At 38.9% G+C, this 20927-nt stretch overlaps 1 protein-coding gene across 2 annotated transcripts in view; it reads right to left on the reverse strand.

The window, feature by feature from the left end:
- The window catches only part of ASAH2 (N-acylsphingosine amidohydrolase 2), a 66656-nt gene that overhangs the window by 41716 nt on the left and 4013 nt on the right, over positions 1–20927 (reverse strand). For both annotated transcript variants that reach the window (NM_001143974.3, NM_019893.4), the window contains exons 3-7: positions 18646–18878; positions 16626–16775; positions 9312–9488; positions 7849–7976; positions 6608–6685 (exon numbers count right to left, since the gene is read on the reverse strand). In NM_001143974.3, coding sequence (NP_001137446.1) covers positions 6608–6685; positions 7849–7976; positions 9312–9488; positions 16626–16775; positions 18646–18878 — 766 coding nt within the window. The remainder of the gene's footprint in view (positions 1–6607; positions 6686–7848; positions 7977–9311; positions 9489–16625; positions 16776–18645; positions 18879–20927) is intronic.

Raw genomic sequence — 20927 nt, forward strand, 5'->3', positions numbered from 1 at the left:
ATAAGGAATGTACTACTCTGGTTGGGGATATTGATAGTGAGGGAGGCTGTGCATGTATTGGAAGAAGGTGCATATAGGAAATCTCTGTACTTCCTGCTCAATTTTGCTGTAAACCTGAAACTGCTTTTAAAAATATAGTTTATTAATTAAATAATAATAAAGTCTATTGAAAAAAAAACTATGCCCAGCACTGGCACGGTATCATTTCTGCATTGTTCTATTGTTCAAAGCAGTCACAGGACCAGCCAAAGTTCAAGAACTAGGAAAATAATCTCCACCTTTTAATGGAGAGTGGCAAGGTCACTTTGGATAAAACATGGAATAAGAGCAATTGTTGTGTTGTTGCAGCCATTTTTATAAACTACAATCTGCCATTTAAATATATATTTTAAAAATAGCTATCAATCCAAAAAAAGTAAGAGATGAGAAAGGAGGAAAAAGAAGCACTGAAAAGGTGAGACAAATAGCACAAAGTGAGGAGATACAGAAAAGTTCAGATATAATAATCACAATTCCTGAAAATACACTAAATTCACTTAAAAAACAATGATTGTCAGAGTACAAAAGAAATAACTAAAGCTATATGATATTCATAAGAGACACCCTTAAAATGTAAGAATAAAGAACGGTTCAAAGAAAATGATAGAAAAATATACATGGCAAATTCTGGGTTAGCCACATTAACAGACTATGTAGACTTTAAGACAAAAAAAACACATTATTAGATAAGAAGAGGATCACTGCAAAAACAAACAGATACTTGTTTTTGCAGTGATGGAGATAACATTGTTAATATTTTTATAGTATTTTAAAGCTTCTAGTGCACAGTGAGTGAAACCAAGTGAGCATTCACGTTTACAGAATGAGCTTTTAGTCATGTGTATTTCTTATTATATGTTCCACATAGAAAAATGAACAGAAGCAAATGCACCTGAATATTAACCATGATTGATTCGAGGTAGTATAATTTTAATTTAATTTTTCCTTCCTTTCTACTTTCTTTATTTTTCAAGTTTTCTATGGTAAGCACACACTATTTTTATACTGAAAAAAAACTTAGAAAAAAAAAATAATCTCCCAGATTTTTTTCAGGTTAAGTAAGAACTTTCCAGAAATCTAACAATCAAGTTGTCCAATATCTCCAGCCAACTATTTTTTTATGGCTTTGGTTTCTAAACTTGGGACAATTTAAACTACACTAGGCTGATCAATCTTTGTTATCAGTCAACAGTCACCATCTTGGTCATCTAAAAGCCCTTTTAGGCACCTTCACCTACGGGGCAGGGGAGAGGGGTGAACCTGACCCAGGATGAAAGCTCACTTCACAACCATGACCAAGCTCCACTGAAGAAGAATACAGGCAAACAGAAAGTAAAGTTAGAGCAGGAAGACAGCATCAAGCTTCACAACATGGAGCGGAACAAGAAAAAGAGGTTCAGTGAAAGATATAGAAAAAGAAAGCAGGGGCCAAGCACAGTGGCTCAGGCCTGTGATCCCAACACTCTGAAAGGTCAAGGTGGGAGGATCCCTTGAGGCCAGGAGTTCAACACCAGTCTAAGCAACATAGCAAGACCCTGTCTCTATTTATTTTTTAAATAAAAGCAATAAATAAAATAAACAGAAAGGAAGGCTTTATAAATCAGAATTCATGCTAATGATAGAGAAGGCATTTAGGAAGACAAAGACAAGATGAGATGAAAAAAAGAGAACAAGAATGGTTTGGTAGAGGGCAGTCACTAAGGTTTCAGCATTTGCAATTTGAGTGGGGTTAAGTGGACGGAGGGGAGAGTATAGAGTCAGAATACAGAAAACCATAGAGAATAAACAGTCAGACATTACAATTCAAGAAAAATAATTCAATTATTCTGTGTCAATTAAAAACAAAACAGTTTTATGTAAAAAAAGTTTTTAAATAAAGAAGTCATAGTCATAGATGATAGAGAAGATTTATATATATACTGCAACTGAGTTCTGTAAGTCAACACCATTTGAATAAATGAGTGTAATAGCACAAATAGGATTTTTTTAACTTTTTACACAAATGATTCAAATAGCTTACACAAATCACTGCCCCTGTCATCTTAAAAATATGCCTTTAAAGGGCTCCCTTACAAGACCACTGACTATAAGAATAAAAGGGTTTGCAATACATAAATAGAAGGCAGTGGAGAGGAGAGGAGAAGAGAAAAGAGGGGAGGAAGAAGAGGAGGAGGAGGAGAAGCGGGATGAGGAGCAAGGAGGAGGAAGAAGAAAAGAAGAGGAAGGAGAAGGAGAAGGAAGGAGAAGAGGAGTCCATGTGACTGCTGCAAATTCAAGGAAGAAAACTTGGCGGAAGAAAAGAGGAAGGCAAAGAGAAGAAAAGCAAGACAAAGCCTTTTCAGTTGCAGCATCCTTGAAGAAATAAGTCGGCCTCCTCACCTGTCTCAGAGCTGCCTTCGTAAGTGTAGCTATGTGAGTAGTAGCTCTTCCACTGACCACAACTACCACTCAGATTATCTGCACTTGTGACTTTCTTTTTGATGTAGACATTTGAAACCTGTTTTGCTTTCTCCCTTCATGTTTTCTTCACACACATAGTGTCTTATTGCATCCGAGACTCTCAAGGTTCTGTTTATTTTCCTCTATTGGATGACAGACTCTTTGAAGTACCTTACAGAGTCTCCCAAAGTGAATTTTGTAAATGTTACACAGCTTATATTTTAATTCACAATTCAGAACATCCACAACATGTTCTCCATGTCTGGAGAAAAAAAAACATTGAATGCTTTCATGTAAGGGGAAAAAGGCACAAAGATAGCAATATTTTTCTGACATAGAATTTTCTAACAGATTTTTCTGACATAGAGCAACTAGAGCAAATGGTGGCTTCACAATTGTAGAGGGCTTAATGGTTCATGGAATAGTTTCAGGAACATAATTTTATTTCATTCCTCAAGTCTACACTCTTCCCAATCCTTCGACAGCCCCAACTCCCAACCCAAGTTTGAAACACTTTAATGAGTTTTCATTCCTCTTGGTATAGAAAAACAAATTCTTTGTCATGCCATCTAATCTCTATTTCTTACTTTGTCTTGCAACACCCTGCCCTGTTGACCTCTGCACTCCAGCCACACTCACCTTTTACCAGTTCTTCAAATGCTTCCCCATTTGTGTTAAATGTTCTTTTCCAATCCCCCCATTTTGCCAGTTAATTCCTACTCCAGTTTCCAGCTCCCATTGCTGTCACTTCCTCAGGGAAACCTTTCCCAATCTCTCTGACAAGGTCAAATTCCTTTAAGAAAGTTCTACACACCTGCCTTTCTTAGCACTGAGCCCAATTATAATTTTACATGTATTGTATGCCTATCTGTATGCCTTCTGTCTCCCTCAGTAGACTGAAGTCCTATAAGGGCAGCAACTCCATCTATATTTGTTCATCAGTGTATCCCATAATAATCTCTGTGTGGAGAGAAGATATGATAGCCACATTTGAAAATACGGCAACTGAGTCTCAGAGAGTTTAATGGATTCATTCCAGTAGCACAAACATGGGTACTAGATTCCTTATTTCAAGGCCAGGGAATACATCATTCCAAGGAAGTATTGCGTGGCTCATAGTAGGTCCCTAGTGCAGACTTGCTGAATGAAAAACTGAAAACAAAAATGAGAGTAAGAAGGAATGAATTATGAACTCAAATATGGTTTTCATTGTGAAGAAGATAGTCTTGGCTGTGATGCTGGGCAGGTCACATCACCTTTCTAGGCCCTTGTTCCTCTGCTGAAGGTTAAACTAGGTCATCTCCATGCTCTGTGATTCTGAGTTGCTGTGCTTCCAAACTCCTCACACCTTGGGATTCTGTCTAACAGCAGGCATCTACATATGGTGGGTGAGTTACTTAGCAGCCCACATTTGACTTTATATTTTGGATCATTTTTAACGTATTCAAAGAGCAATTACACTATGCAACAAGAGGCAATTGCAGGAGCAATTACATCAAAGATAACATACGGCAGCTCAGAAACAATGGAAAGTTATTGCAGGATGTTAAGCACAACAGATGGAAAAGCTTTGCTATAACCTTGACAGTTGACCGAAAGACTTCCAGATACATGATACAATTGCATGTATGGAAGCAAAGAACATCTGGCCAAAATAATAGTATTTTTGAATTTTCTGTTCCAGTTATTAAATGATTCAAAAACTGGCCAGGTGCAGTAGCTCACACCTGTAATCCAAGCACTTTGGAAGGCCGAGGTGGAGGATCACTTGAGACCAGGAGTTTGAGATCAGTCTGGGCAACAAGCAAGACCCCATTTCTACAAAAAATTTTAAAAAATAGCCAGGTGTGGTGGTGAGCACCTGTAGTCCCAGTTACTAAGGAGGCTGAGGCAGGAGGATCACTTGAGCCTAGGAATTTGAGGCAGCAGTGAGCTATGATCACGCCATTGCTCTCCAGCCTAGGCAGCAGAGCAAAAGCTTGTCTCAGGAAAAAAAAAAAAAAAAAGGTTCAAAAACTACTAAAAGGGAATTGTAAATGGTCTTGGTCCTTCAGCCAAGAGTAAAATAGAAACTATAAGGGCGACTCTATCTCCTTGTCCCAACAAATTTGGGATACTCAGTGTAACTAGCAGAGATGTATGCTGTTATCCTGCCCTTCTTGTAATTGAATGCCCCACTAAAGTGCTCTAGAATCTGGACCTGTTTTACCTTTCCAGTCCACCTTTTACCAATGCCCTGACCTCACCCACACTCTGGCCTTATGGCTCTGTATTTTTCATGACTCCGTGAGAAATCCCATGACTCCTTGAAGGTCCAACTCAAATGTCATTTTCTCTTGGAAGCCTTCCACAGTGCTCTCAGGAAAAACTCAGGGCTACCTCCTCCAAACTCCCACAGCATTATTTATGCCCATGGGATAGCACTGCTGGTCATCTGATTCATGTTATGGTTACTTGTCTATATATTTGTCTCTGTCTCTTGCCCCAATCACCCCACCAGCTTGTGAGACCCTTAAAGATAGAAAACTTGCCTTATTCATCATAACATACCCCACTCACACAGTTACATGCCTGACATTTAGAAAGTGTGCTGAGTTAAATGCTAAGGGGAAACTAATCAAGAGATAAGTTGATTGTAGTAGAAGAATAAGTCCATTATGTCAGCCCATATACCAAAGTTTATTAGGGAGTTTTTAGTGACTTCACTTTTAACACAAAAGAGGAACTCAAATGCTAAGAATTTCAAGCATTCTAATATGCTGGTAATGGAATTATTCAGAAGAGGTAGAATATGTTTTCTATTCCTTTTTAGCTAAAATGATTAAGCTTTTTTCTATGTCAGGCACAGAACTAGAGTTTTGTATGCATTATCTCATTTAATCCTCAGACAACCCTATGGGGTATTACTATTCCCATTTTCAAATAGGATAGTTAAGGTCTAAGTGAATTAAGTTACTTTCTCCAGGCCACAGGGTTAGTAAGTGGCAGAGGGCTGGGACTTGAAGCCAAGTCAACCTTACCTCAAGACCTGAACTTTTTATTACCATGTTGTTCTCCACCTAGTTTTAGGGCCAACTGTGGTGTGTGAACTGTGAATCATAGTTTTTAATGTTTTTCTTCACCACTTTGTCAATTTTACTGCAAGTTTTATTCACATAGCATCTTTTACTTAGATATTTTATAATTCTACTTGGCAGACCCTTTGTCATCTTTCTAATCATTATTATCAACATTTTAAATACTTACTTTATCCTATGGTATGCACAAAAATGCTTAGGGATGAGAAACAGGAAGACAGGGTAGTCACAGAACTTGTCTAAAGTCACATTGCTAATAAGGACAAGAGCCCAGAGTGAACCCAAGCCATTTGACTGTAGCACCCAGCACTATCTGGTACTTCCCTAGGGCATGTCTGCATCATTTGCAAGTCCATAGGTCAAAGAGTCTGGAACCATGTTACCCACCCAGTCAATTCCTGAGTCAGGCCAGTTGCAGTAACCAAAATCACATATGAATGCAAATTCCTTATTTTCAAGAAAACAAAATCCATGTGTTTTCCTAAATGCTGTCACTCCCAGATAATTGTGCTAAAAGCTGGCCCCACCTGTAATTTTCCCTCACTTGCTTCCTTTAGGTGTTCTCAGTTCTATTTTATCCCTACTTGCCATTGTCCTGCATTGGACTTAATCCTTTTAGGGAAACACAGGTAAATAATCTCAAAGCCATAATCACTTTCCTGGTTGGTTAGATTGTTTTTTCATTTTACTAGGAGATAACTGTATACCATCATGGAAGTTCCACATGTGAGATCTTGATAACATAATAAGTGTTAATGTTTACTGAATTTTTGTATCATATGCGAGATGCTGTGCCAAGCTCTTCACCAAGATCTCTCATTTATCTTCCCTGTATTAAATCTGTTTTGTAAGTGCAGAACTAAGCCCTGAGAGACTGAGAACCCTGTACAAGGCCCTTGGCTGGACCCCAGTTGTGTCTGACTTCAGAACCTGGACTCTTAACCACACAACTTATTCTCAGTGTGTGCTGGTACTATTCTAGTCTCTTTTCCCTTCTCTTTAATTAAGAAAAGCTACCCGACAGAATTATTTTTAAAAAGGAAATACAGTACCTGATAAGGCCCAAGTCATCTCCATTCAAATCTACCATTTTCAAAACTATCATTTCCTTGTCTGTATTTGAAGAATACCTAGTCAGTAAAACAGAAAAGCACAGTCAGTTCTGTGTTAGAGCCTAACCCTCATGTAAGATGAACAGTAGCAGCTGACACAAAAACAAAAATGCCTCTCAGTAAGTGAGATGTCTTGACAAGCAGTAGTTCTGTGAACTGTATCCAGTACCTCATTTATCAGCTAAGGAAAGGCTATGCAATTGCGATCAAAGTTTGGGGGACTAGGTCAAGCGACTGGAGCTGAAATACACATATTTTTATATAACATACAATATTATATAACATATATGTATTTCTTACAAAAGGGATTTATTTGTCTTTGAAATTTCTACTCATATCAATTTTTAATGAAATCTCTTTAAAAGAGCAGGGAATTTGCAAAATCAAAAGCATTCAAGACCTGCAACTTAAGTGTTCTTTTATGTCTTCTCAAGGGAAATCAGATTACATTTTCTAAAAATCATCTCCTTTGAAAGCTATTGAAAAATATGCAGAAAAATGTTAAATGTCAAGTGGTCAAGTGGAAACTGTGGTATTATTTTACAGTGTTACAGTAACCAAGCACTTCTCTTCTGTTACAAACCTGGTTCATCACTTAAAAAAAGACAAAAAGGCAAAATAATCCTCTCCCTTAGTTTTTCCATTCAAATATGTGGGTTTATTTCTTACTCTTCTGTCCATATTCTTTATCCTTTTATTTTCTCTGTCTTGCCACACTCTTGTGGACTAAGATGATTTATTCTGGATAACACATAATAAAAGAGCTATTCATTAATTTAATAAATATGCATTGAGCACATTTTTATCTTCATTTTACTGATGAAGAAGCTGAGAGACAATAAATTAAGATAAGTAAATCACTAAAGGTCACATTGCTAGAAAGCAATAAAACTAAGCTGAGACCACAGTTGTTCCTGATTTCAAAGCCCAGAGTCCTTCAAACATCCACACTCGCTCCCATAATCAACAAAGTGGAAAGATACATTAATAAATTGGTGTTTGTTTCTACATTCACTTTTTGTTTCTGCTTGTTTTAGATTACACAGATGTTTTTAAGATATCATAGCTGTAATACTCTCTTGGGACCTCACCATATTCATCAAGTAACAGCCCTGTACTTAGATTTTGTTGCTGTTCCCTAAAGGGAATGAAACGATTTCATTTTGACGATTCCTCCTCACCTTGCTCTCTCTGACTGCGGATTTTGAAGGTAAGAATACGGACTTCTGTTGATCTGCACACCATCCACATTTCCTTTATTGATGAAGATTTTGCCTGGTTTCATATTTGTGTGTGCTATGTCAATGCTCTGAAGGTTAAAAAAGAGGGGGATGTTATAAGCTTAGAAATCCTGGTGGGGACAATAACTTAGTCAATATAAACAGAAGAGCCCTGTGAACAATTTCCTTTGTCTCTAATGGGTCCACATTACGGGATAAAAGCTGGAGAACCACATCGCTGTTGACAATCTGGAGGTAAACAGAAATGGCTTTCAAGGTTGAGATAAGGGAAATGCCGTGTTATACGGAAGCACAGTACTGATTAATGCCTGAGCTCACAAAAAGTCTCAACTCCTGCTCTCTCAGGACTGCTAAATGAGGTTCAGTTTGTCACTTCAGATAGCCAAAATGGGAGACTTGACTCCTACAACACTAATACAAGTTTTGCTAACATGCAACTGTTTCCACCTCCCTACCCTTGCCATTCTACCACCAAGGCAGAGTTGTTCAAACTTTTTTGACAGTGAACTACAGTGAGAGATACATTTTTCATCATAACTTAATACACATCAACATATGCATCCCAAAACAAAAGTCCACAAAGCAAACTATACCCTGACTGTGTGTCATACACTATATCTTACAATCTATTTTTTAGCATTTTTTATGTAATGTTTTTTGCAATCCATGAAATTGATTTCATAAGCCTTTAATACATTGAAAGCCTCAGTTTGCAAAACATCAATGTAAAGCAATTTCTGCCTATGCCAGCTGGATCTCTGAATTTTGGGGGTGACATTGTAAGAAAAAATAGAGAATAAGCCTGGAATACAATAAAATGAAGCAAAACATTAGCAAGGATCCTATGCAACAAAATAATAAGCTGAAAGACAGAAAAGAGAGGAGTATAAGCTACTGAAACCAGAAACAGGAGAGGAGTTTAAGGGTATTTGTCAGGAGCACCACGGAGGTCTGTATCTATACTAGAGAACTTGAAAAATTGGGATGTGTGTTTATAAGTTGGATTCTCTTTGTACTTTGGGAAATATTTTAAAATTTTAGAATTATTTGTAATTACTTTTGGCTCCTTCATGGGTTTCTCTTTGTGTGACTTTGTGCAAAGAACAGGCCATGTAGTGCCCTCTATAAAGAACCCCAAACCAAAATGTTTTCTGTCTGTTTAAATAACTACATTGGGCTTAGTCCCATAGAAGCCTTCTTTTCCAATCATCCATGCCTCATCCCTAACAGCCCATAGCTCAGAACAAGAAGCTAAGATAGAGTCAGGGAGGAGAAAGAATTGTACATGCTAATACTATGCTCAGACCCAAATCCTATAGGGATTCTTTATATCACATCCAATCACTCCTAAAATACCTGTAAGCAATGGTAAAGAACAGCTGCCTCTGGGGCTCTTTGCCTACCTTCAAGATACCAGTGACCATGTGCTGAAAAGTTTGATTGCTAAATCCTTCACTGGCAATTACAAACACGGTATACTGGAAATATCCTGCAGGACCTGAATGAGTGTGAGTGCCACTCAGGATGACATTATCTCTTCTGTACAGGGAGCCATATTTACTCTGCAGTCTGTTCAGGACCTTCAAGAAAAAAAGTAATTGAACTAAGAAGAGGGATAACATAGGAGCTCAACATGAGAAAAGGCTTTGATGAGTTCAATCACTGATCCATACCAATAACATCTGTATTAGTCCATTCTCATGCTGCTAATAAAGACATACCTAAGACTGAGTAATTTATAATGGAAAGAGGTTTAATTGACTCACAGTTCAGCATGACTGGGGAGGCCTCAGGAAACTTATAATCATGGCAGAAGGGGAAGCAAATATGTCCTCCTTCACATGATGGCAGGAGGGAGAAGTGCAGAGTGAAAGGGGGGAAAGCCCCTTATAAAACCATCAGATCTTGTGAGAACTCACTATCATGAGAACAGCAGCATGGGGGTACCCACCCTCATGATTCAATTACCTCCCATGGGGTCCCTCCCACGACACATGGGGATTATGGTAACTAAAACTCAAGATGAGATTTGGGCGGAGACACAGACAAACTATATTAACACCTCTTTCAAATGGCCCCTCACTGTATGTTTGAGGATATTATCATAGTAATAACAACAAAATAATAATAACAATACCTAACATTTTATAGATTCTTACTATAAGCAAACACAATGCTAGGTATGTTATATATATTATGTATTTAAAAATCTTTATTACAATTTCAAGAGCTACACAAGTATTGTTAAGCCCATTTTTAGCTGAGAACATTGAATTATACAAAAGTTAAATAATTTGCCTGTTGATCTAATAAGTAGCAGAGCCAGACTCCAGACCCTCGTCTAACTAGAGAACCAGTACTCTTATTCATTCATCATTCAACAGGTGCTCTAAGCAAAAGAATATATGAGGTTCTTGTCTTGAAGATATTTTTTTTCTAATGAAAGACAAAGACAGTAAGCAAGCAAATAAATATTAAATATTATATCATAGAGTGATAGATGCTATGAAGAAAAACATTGTTGCATAAGGAAAAAGAAAGTAGTGGGTGTTAGTGAGGAAAGATCTTCTAATGAGGGGCTCTCTTTTAGCAGAGGCTGAGATGAAGAAAGCAAGTCGGCTGTGCAATATCTGGGGGAAAAGCAACTCAGGCATAGTGAGCAGAAACTGCAAAGGTTTTAAGCTACTCTAGTACCTCATTTCCCAAATGAAGAATTCAGTGTGCCTTGAAACGAACTCTTAGACTTGTTGGTCTAGAGGATGCCATCCACTGTGATGCAAGGACACCCTAATAATCCTGTGGAGAAGCCTAAGTGGATAGGAAGCATCCTGTCAGCACTAACTTGCTAGCCATCTGAGTGAGCAACCTTAGAAGTAATTTCTTCCACCTTGGTCAAGCCATCAGAAAACTGCGGCCCTAGCCAGCATCTGAGTGCCACATCATGACACAGAAGTGATTACATATGACTTGTTCTAAAACAAGTCAGAATCGTCTAACCAAGCCACTCTGGGAATCCTGACACACAGAAGCCTTGAACAACATTTATTATTGTTGTTTTAAGCCACTAAATTTTTAGGCGATTTGTTGTACAGCAATAGACAACTAATACAAAGAGACTCAGTAAATGTTTAGTGAATGAGTTGATCAATGAACATCCAAATGCATGACTAATGTCTTCATATGGTGCATACACATCAAGAAAACACCAGACAGAATACTGGTGATGTTGCTGAGTATTTGTTGCTGATTATGCTTTAATAAGCTGCAATCTAAAGTTTGGTATCATTGTGTCTTTTTTGTGAAAGATAATTAAAAAATGACCCAGCAGTATGTAACACAAAGGATAAATGCTTGAAGGGATGGGTACCCCATTTTCCATGATGTAACTATTAGGCATTGCATGCCTGTATCAAAACATCTCATGTACCCCATAACTATATGTACCATGTACACACAAACATTAATCAAAGAAAAAAAAATCCAGCAAAAGTGTCAAACCCAAAGCAATTGTTAGCAATGTTTACCTTGAGTATGGCATAGACACTCTGATAAGCTGTCTCTCTGGAACATACAATAAAATTAAAAGCCCTCATTTGTATTGTTCACCAATTTCTGTGATGTAAAAACTCCTCATCATGATCAATTTCAAGCTACCAAAAGCTTAACAGCCAGCTCACAATGTTTCTGAATATTTACAAATTGGTTCTTATGAGCTTGTGCAAGCTAGTTCCAGCTCACTGCTGGTAAGTGGGGAGTAGCAGCTTCTATGCTATGTACTTGATATACATGAAGATAATCATTCAACCTCTTCTATTGCAGGTGAAGATCTACACCATTCTCATTCCAGTCATAACCACCTTGCCTCATTAACCTCTCCTTGTCCCAAAGACTGATTGTTTGGTTACCATGTCCACATAAGCAATTCTATGATGCAAGACAAATACAGAATGGAAGTATAATATAACAAGACTAACATCCTTCTGTATTCCTTCTCTTTGGTCCTAACTCCAGCCCCAATCCCCCACCACTCTCGCATATTATTCCATAATGTAACTACCACACTCATGAAGAAGAAATGTATAAAGAGAAGAGAAAATGATCAATGAAGGGACATCATGAAAGCTGAACTAAAGTCAGAAGCTGATGTTCTTAACAATTTGCAGCTAAGACAGGAAGGTAGTAGAGAAAAAGAGCCACGAGTCAACTTTAAAGCTCCCTAACCCCATCCTATTTATTCCTAAAGAACTGTGACATTAGGGCTTTAGAATTAAATGCATTTCTTCATGTCTACTCAAGAATCAAGCCCTTAAGAAGACAGAAATTATGAATCTTGAATTTTAAAACAAGAAAGACTACAAACGGTACACAGGAATTTTATTTTAAACTACAGTCTCTGATATGAAGCCAGACATATGGGACTTCTAGCGGGGAGAAAAAAGAAATACATAAAACCTAGTCATATAACAATGCCAGGAAGATAACCATTAAAAATAACGTGTTTCCCAGTTCATGAAAGGAGGGTATTTTAACACAGGACAAAGCAGCTACATTTATGTCTACCGCTCACTTCTGTCTTCAGTTTCTATTCCATTTCGTCTCACTGACACTCTTGGGAGCATGACACAGAAAAACCTAGAAAGTCCTTCTGTTTTTCTGTCATGCCTCACTGCACAGAGATCTTCCATAATCTTCATTCTGTGCTGGAAATTTCACCTATCTTAAAGCTGACACTGAGAACCTACATAGAAGCAGGTGTTATAAATAATATTAATGACACTTATTTAGCTACATTTATTTTTCACACCTTCCTTTGGGTTAATTTGGGAAAACTAAGTGGGTTCATTTAACAGCCTTCCCACTGGGTCTCAGATTGCACGGAGATGTAAAAATAGGAAGAGATAGAAAAATGGTGCCCACTATTGACTTGATAACACCTACAAAACAACACATTAAACTCCTCCCCACTCTACCCGCCAAAGTCTACCTTTTGGTTCTTTTATTTCTGCTAATGACCGTACTATTTCCCAATTAGAGCCATCTCATTTTTCAGAAAAGCAGTATAGTATAGTAGAAATGAGCATGAATTCTGACACCAAAACACTTAAGTTTGAATCCCAACTCTGACAGTTCCTAGCTGTGCAACCTTGGATAAGTTACTTGGCCCTCTGCAAACTTGGTTTCTCAATCTGTCAAATGACATAATAATAATACCTCCCTCATAGAGTCGTTTGGAGGAATAAGTACATTAATCCATACAAGGCACTGACAAGAGTTCCAGACTCAGCATGAATATTATGTTAAGTACTGGCTTTTATGTCTATTCATCTCCAAATCTCACATTTAATTTTTTTTTTTTTTTTTTTGAGTCAGAGTCTCACTCTGTCACCTATGCTGGAGTGCAGTGGAGTGATCTTGGCTCACTGAAACCTCCACCTCCCAGGTTCAAGCCATTCTCCTGCCTTGGTCTCCCAAGTGGCTGGGACTACAGGCTCCTTCCAGCATGCAACTGATTTTTGTATTTTTAGTAGAGACAGGGTTTCACCATGTTTGCCAGGTTGGTCTCGAACTCCTGACCTCAAGTGATCCACCTGCCTCAGCTTCCCAAAGTGCTGGGATTACAGACGTGAGCCACCACACCCGGCTGACTCACATTTAATTTCCTATCCCACCACCACGTAGTCTCACTGCCATCACATTGGTTTAAGATCTTTGTGCCAGTCTCACGTGATAAAGGGGGAAATTGTTAGGCAAAGTTACAAAAAATAAAAACCCTTCCAGCAACTCCAGCTTCCCTTTCTTGTTCCTTCAGCCTTTTAACATCTTGTAAAACTCCCCTGGGTGAAATCCCTCTGTTTGAAATACCTAGTATGATGATTACTGTTTTCTTAACTGGACCCTCACCAATAAAGCCTCAGTATCTCTTTAAAGAATCTGCTAATTTTTGTCCTCACTTCTAGTTCCACTCTATTCCAATCCATATCAAACATCCCTACCTGCTTAATCATCCTAAAACAAAATGGTGTTTACATCACTCCGCCACTCAGAAGATTTCTCAGAGTCCATATCACCCACAGAATTAAAAACAAGCTGGCATCTCAAGGCCCTCTGCAATTATGATAAACATATCTTCCAGATACATCTCCAACTACATGCCTCCATATGTCCTAATAGATCTCCTCTGTTCCCTCATGAAAGAGTCTACATCCCTCCTTTGTGCCTCTCTGTGTTCATTCTGTTTCTTCCATCAGATTTCTCTGCCTTCCCATCCTAACCATTTAAAATTCTGCTCACTCAAGTGTCATTTCCACCATGAAAATGTTTTCCTAATTTGCATTCCTGAATCCCTATTGGTGATCTTAAAAGACCATATGTCCACAAAGTCTCAGATATTTTGCCCTTCAAGAAGTAAAGCTTACTTTTTCACCACTGAGTGTGAGCTGGACTTAGTGACTTGCTTGATGAATAGAACAGGGTGAAAGTAACGGTGTATAACTTCTAAACCTGGGTCATACAATGCACTGTAGCTTCCTCCTTGCTCATTCTCTTGGGTCACTCACTCTGAGGGAATCTAGCTGCTGTGTCGTAAGGATAGGAAGAGTGAGGAACTGAGGCCTTTGGCCAACAGCCACATGAACAAACCATCTTGGAAGTGGACCTTCAAGCCTGGGTCAAGCTTTCAGATGACTCAACCTTTGCCATCACCTTGATTGCCATAGAACCTAAACCAGAGCCACCTAACCAAGACAGAATTCCTGACCCATAGATCATGTGAAATCATAAGTGTTTGTTGTTTTAAGCCACTATAGTTTGGGGTAATTTCCTACTCAGTAATAGACAATTACTATCCCACTGTACCTTCCTTTGGTTAATTATAGCTAACTGTATATTTCTGTGTATCTCTATATTTCATAGTCCTTCCTTCTATCCACCACCTAGAAAATGACCTCATAAGGGAGATGAATTGTGACATATTTAGTTGTGTGTCCCCTGAAGTGACACTAGCAAAGTACCTTACAAAAAGCAAGTGGTCAATGCATTTTTCCTTCTAAGAGTATAGAATAATGTCACTTTTAAGAATGTATCTGCTATAAAGACACTTGCACACATATGTTTATTGTGGCACTATTCACAATAGCAAAGACTTGGATCCAACCCAAATGTCCATCCATGATAGACTAGATAAAGAAAATGTGGCACATATACACCATGGAATACTATACAGCCATAAAAAAGGGTGAGTTCATGTCCTTCGCAGGGACATGGATAAAGCTGGAAACCATCATTCTCAGCAAACTAACACAAGAACAGAAAATCAAACACCACATGTTCTCACTCTTAAGTGGGAGTTGAACAATGAGAACACATGGACACAGGGAGAACATCACACACTGGGGCCTGTCGGTGGGTGGAGGGCTAGGGGAGGGATAGCATTAGGAGAAACACCTAATGTAGATGACGGGTTGATGGGTCCAGCAAACCACCATGGCACATGTATAGCTATGTAACAAAACTCCACGTTCTGCACATGTACCCCAGAACTTAAAGTATAATAAAAAATTAAAAAAAAGAATGTGGACTCTGGGATTAACCATACCTGTGTTCAGAATCCAGCTCTACCATTTGCTAACTGTGTGAAATTTGGAAAGTTACCTACCTTCTCTAAGACTCAGTTTTCTTATACAGAAAATGGAAATACCAACAAAGCCACCTCACTGTTTTGTGAGTGCAGAAGTGGGGAAAACACTTAATCCCTTTTTCCTCATGTGGGGATGCTTCCCACATGTGATGAGGGAGGCTTCCGCTCTCCTCCCCAAGAGGGAGCAATGTTAAAGTGATGCTTTTAGGCCATCTCATTATCCCTCTCACTGGCCCCTTCACACAGCAGGAGGAAAGTGTTTAATAGGTTAGACTAGTAGAACCTGACATTGCATGATGGACATTTATGATCATTGTTCTGGTCAATGCTCCAGCCGCTCTTCTTTCTCACATTCATGAATGTTAGCAGACATTAACAGAACACATTCTCTCTTAGTGACCTGATTCCATGCAGAAAATAGTACTGGGTCAGGGCTTAGAAATTGCCTTAGAAAGTTAGAACTGGAAGTTTATCGTTCACTGGCTTGGTTGGTTGCTTGCTCGCTTTCTATCTCTCTCTCTCTCTCCGTCTCCTCCTCCTCCTTTTGTATGGATGTGACAATTTCAAATTTGTACAAAAATAATCAGAATGCTATAATGAATCCCTATGTGCCTATTACCCAGCTTCTATAACTACCAATTCACGGTCAACCTCATTTCAATGTTGCGTTTTAATTCGCATCCGATTCCTCACATGTATTCTCAATTGTCTGAGAACTTGAAGAAGTGCTTAGTGATTAATGGGTGCTCTCCCAACTTCTAACAAGGAGGATTAAATAAGGGAATATATATATAAAAGTCACCTGGCACATTATAAGCTTTCAACAAAAACATTAGCATTAATAATGATGATGAGTCATCAGCAGAAGTGAAAGCAAATTTTGACCAAGATAACTTAGACTGAAATAGTGAAGATCATTTTCCTTGTAAGATTATCTGCTATATTGTCCAGAGCGTATAATATTGAAGGTAATAGAATTTCACTGAATGAGAAACCAAGAGGAATTATTTCCTGTCACATTCACCCACTTTTCCTTAAACCATATCATTTCTTCATTCATTTCTCCTCTCAAATCACTTACCTCCAGCCTGAGCCTTTGTGATACCATGCCTATGTCGATGCTGACAAACACTGTTCGATTGGACCCATCAGGTTCTGCCATGATGAAGGCACGACTGTATAGCCTGGTGAGGATGCCCTGTGCATTCTGGCCGGATTTGCCATAGCCCATCTAAAGAGGAAGAGACAATCAGAGCTGCTCTGTCTCATTCCCCTGCTACTAGAAACCAGGCACAAACATACAATATAGACGACTGCAGAAAAACAAAGAAAAACATCCACATGACATGGTGGCTCTGAGTGAGAGGATATATGTTTCAAAAATTAAAAAGAAAAAGGAACAAAGAAAGCCAAAAAATATCATAAAAGAGGCTTGAATCCTCTGTGTAGAAAAATGCAAAGGCAAAGAATCGATCAGGTTGGCAGAAGCTGTTCCCTGGCTTATGGGCAGGAGGGAGCTGGTGAGGCTTTGGAAATTCTGTTACTAACACTAACACGAGAGATCTTTCTGGCCTTTCTGGTTTTGGCAATGGCTCTTCTTCTCCTGCCTTCTAAGGTACTACAGGAAAAAATATTTCCTCTACCTCCATCCCACATTGCCCAGGAACATTTTAAAGGTTGAAGGCTTTCCCATGTTTGTTGTTTAGTGTATGATTTTGTTTTCTGAAGAAAGTGGTATATTTATAATTAAGTATTCTTCACAGAGGGTACCTCGCCCTGGCTTTTACCATAGTATCATTCCTGTCGTGGGTGCAACAGGCTGGTAAATTCCTTTACTGCCCATGACATGGGGTGGTAAAGAAATTTACCAAGACAATCATAGGTAAAGAAAGGCAGATTTATTAGGCAAAGTATGAAAATATGTTGCAAGGGCTCAACAGGCAGCACAGCAGAGAAGGGGCTGTCTGCAAAGAAGCAGGAGCTGGAGGGAAATTTTATAGGGTCACGCTGGAGCGGGACATATGCAGAACGACGTTGTGCTGCTGGGGCTACATGCAGAGTGAGGTATTTGGGAACAAGATGTTGTGGCAGCAGGCTGTCCATGATTAGCCATCTCTCAGAACAATTGTTCTCCCCAACCCTGGGACTCCTGACTTATCAGGACTCTACAACTCCTTAAACCAAATCAGATCACATACACCTATCCCAAGCCACTTCTCTCACCATGTCATAAAATTTACCCATAAAACTACACCCAGGTCTTTAGAATGCCCCCTCTACTGTTTGCATTACCCCTCCTGGGAGTGTTTATTTAGGGTTCACATTCCAGGATCACTTTTCAGAACACACAGTCAAGAATCATATCTGGAAAGTAAAGATTACTTGGAGGGAGGGAGTGAATCCCATCAGACAACTTCATGCTCTGGTTTCCTAGTGAAGCACTGACATAAATGGGTATTTCCATCACATAGCCAAGACTAGCAGTCAATAGGGCCATACCTGACACATAGAAGTTTTATTTGCTTTCACAGTATTAGTCCAACCTAGGTTTCCAGTTTTAGCTAGAGTTGCCTTTATTTTTTAAGTAAGAGATTTGAATCTTCAACTCTTTAATCTGGGGATTTGGGGGCTTCTTTTAAAAAACTGCAAGATAGGGCAGCCCTGAGCCCCCATTTCTTACATGGCAACAATCAGCTAGATTCATGTACTTTATTTGTGCTTTTTTTTTCCTCAAAGTTCCCACCATTTCCTACTACCTCCCACCCCCAAACTGAGCATTCACTAGACATTTCTTATGTTACACTGGCCTGGTGATGTCATTTAAGGTGCCTGCTCACCCCCTGTAGTATTTGAGTTTGCCATCTCTGCCACTTCTGCTCATGAAAAAAAAAGGCCAATGGATTTTACAGGGGAGTTGTGATTGAATAAAAGTTTTCCTCTTCCTTCTAGTATGAAATTCATAGTGCTAGACAGCAGCAAGGTCAATTAAAAAGCTAAAAGAAGATAATGATGATGTTGTAATAATCAGAAATGAATGCAGGTTGTAAAATAATAAAATTACTTGTTTCACAGTCTCCTTAAGGAGCCCATTGTCTACTTGCCAAATTGATATCTGCTACTTGTCCTGTGCAGTCAGCTCGTCCAACACCAATATGGTAGCCACTGAAGTTCTGAAATAGAGGAGACTCTGGGGTTAAAGGCACTGGAGAAGTTTGAGTGGCTGTGGAGCTCTGGGTGGCTGTGGAATGCTGGGTGGCTGTGGAGCGTTGGGCAGCTGTGGAGCCCTGGGTGGCTGGAGGGCTTTGGGTGGTTGAAAAAAAATGGCCTCCTAAATCTAAAACAGAATAAGAGATTTGAGAAACAACATTTCAGCCCTCTTATTTGTCAACATCAATTAGAACACAATATATAGGCTCAGGTTCATAAGGAAAACTCTTTATATATTTTCTTATACATAAAAATATATAGACAGGAACAGCTCAAGAACCTGTTTAAAAATCATAATCCTAAACAGGATGAGAAATATTTCAGACTAACAATCAAGGCCTCTGTCAAATATCCTTCAACTCCTCATCACGAGCCATTCCTTGTCAAACTCACTGCCTTCACTCAACACCCTGCTCTTCTTTTCCAGCTAAACTAAACAGGTGCCAGGTTTACTAAATCCAATATCTGGGGATTGGTTTCTTCCATTTTTTCTATCCAGACTCCTCACTCCTTTCCTCTCCATCTACCAAACTCCACCACCTGCTTCAGAGTTAGTCCATTTCCATCACAGCTAGATCCGACTCAACTCCTCACCTGCAGGATGCCACCCCACTGGCTCTACCTTGGCTCTGATCCTCTTTGACCTTCTGAAGACTTATTTTTAATGCAACCTAGATCACTGTATACATGTTGATATAATTTCATCTTAATTATTCTAGTATTTATATATTCATATCTTTATGTGTATGTATTTATACACATATATTCTATATTAATGTATGCATATATATTTATTATACACACACATACAAATATCAAGGGAAGCAGAATGACATATAGGATTTTTGTAAGAAGACAGATGCAGAAACAAACTGCCTGGGTTTGAAACCTGAATCTACCACTTACTAAGTGAGCAAATCACTTAGCCTATTTCACCCCAATGTTCTCAGCTATAAAATGGAGATTATAATAATATCCTGCTTCCTGGGGCTGTTTTGAACAATAACTATGTTCACTAATATTATAAACTTAGAACAATGGCTACTATGTAGCTTTGATTTTCTTTACCTATTTAGACATGTTATATATTCATCATTTTGTTTATTTCCCTTCCTCAGACAATAGTCAGGAGTTGCCAAGGCATCAAATATCAGTGTCACAAGGCATTTGTAGTCAGAAAGTACTTAGGCAAGAGATTTATAGCTGATTCTTTCTGAAATCCTGGAAATTCAGAGCTCAAAAAACTTAGAGATCACCTAACATAATCTCCTCAGTTTTGCAGATGAGAAAACTGAAAGTCAGAAAAGTGACTTAACCAATAGTTAATGGAGAGCATGTGATGAATCTGGTATGCAATCCAGATCCTCAAACTCAGGATCTGATGCTCTTTCGACCAAATTCTAGGTGGAGTTAGCATCCATGTCTTCTCATTCCCAAGCCGAGATTTTCTTGAAGACATCAAATATTGCAAGGAGTGGAGCAGGCACCTTCGCTATTGCTTCACTGCTACCAGCATAGGAATGTCATGCCAACTAAAGCCAAACCTAACACATAGCCAAGGGTAAGTTATTTACAATCTCAGGGTCTCCGTTTCCCCAAGCGTAAAATGAAACTAATGTAAACAGTAGGACTAGCATCCACCCTTATAGGATTTTTGTGAGAATTAGATGAGAAAATATTCTAGAATCCTCACTATAGTGCTCAACATAGAAACCATTTAATAAACAGTAACTACTGCCATAAGAATAGTTGCTGTAATTAATAATAACCTCCCTGAGTCTCAGCCTCCTGATTTCCTAATTTTAAGAGCTAAAACTGAATAATTATTTTTCTTTTTTTTTTTTAAATGGAGTCTCACTCTGTCACCCAGACTGGAGTGCAGTGGCGTGATCTCAGCTCACTGCAACCTCTGACCCCTGGGTTCAAGCGATTCTCCTGCCTTGCCTCAGCCTCCCGAGTAGCTGGGATTACAGGCGTGCACCACCACAAACAGCTATTTTTTTTTTTTTTAATTTTTAGCAGAGACAGGGTTTTGCCACGTTGGCCAGGCTGGTCTCAAACTCTTGACCTCAGGTGATCTGCCTACCTTGGTCCCCCAAAGTGCTGGGATTATAGGTGTGAGCCACCGGGCCCAGCCAAAACTGAATAATTCTTAATGATCCTTTCACTTCTATCA

The sequence above is a fragment of the Homo sapiens genome, chromosome 10 (genome assembly GCF_000001405.40).
Source record: "Homo sapiens chromosome 10, GRCh38.p14 Primary Assembly".
Classification (NCBI taxonomy): Eukaryota; Metazoa; Chordata; class Mammalia; order Primates; family Hominidae; genus Homo; species Homo sapiens.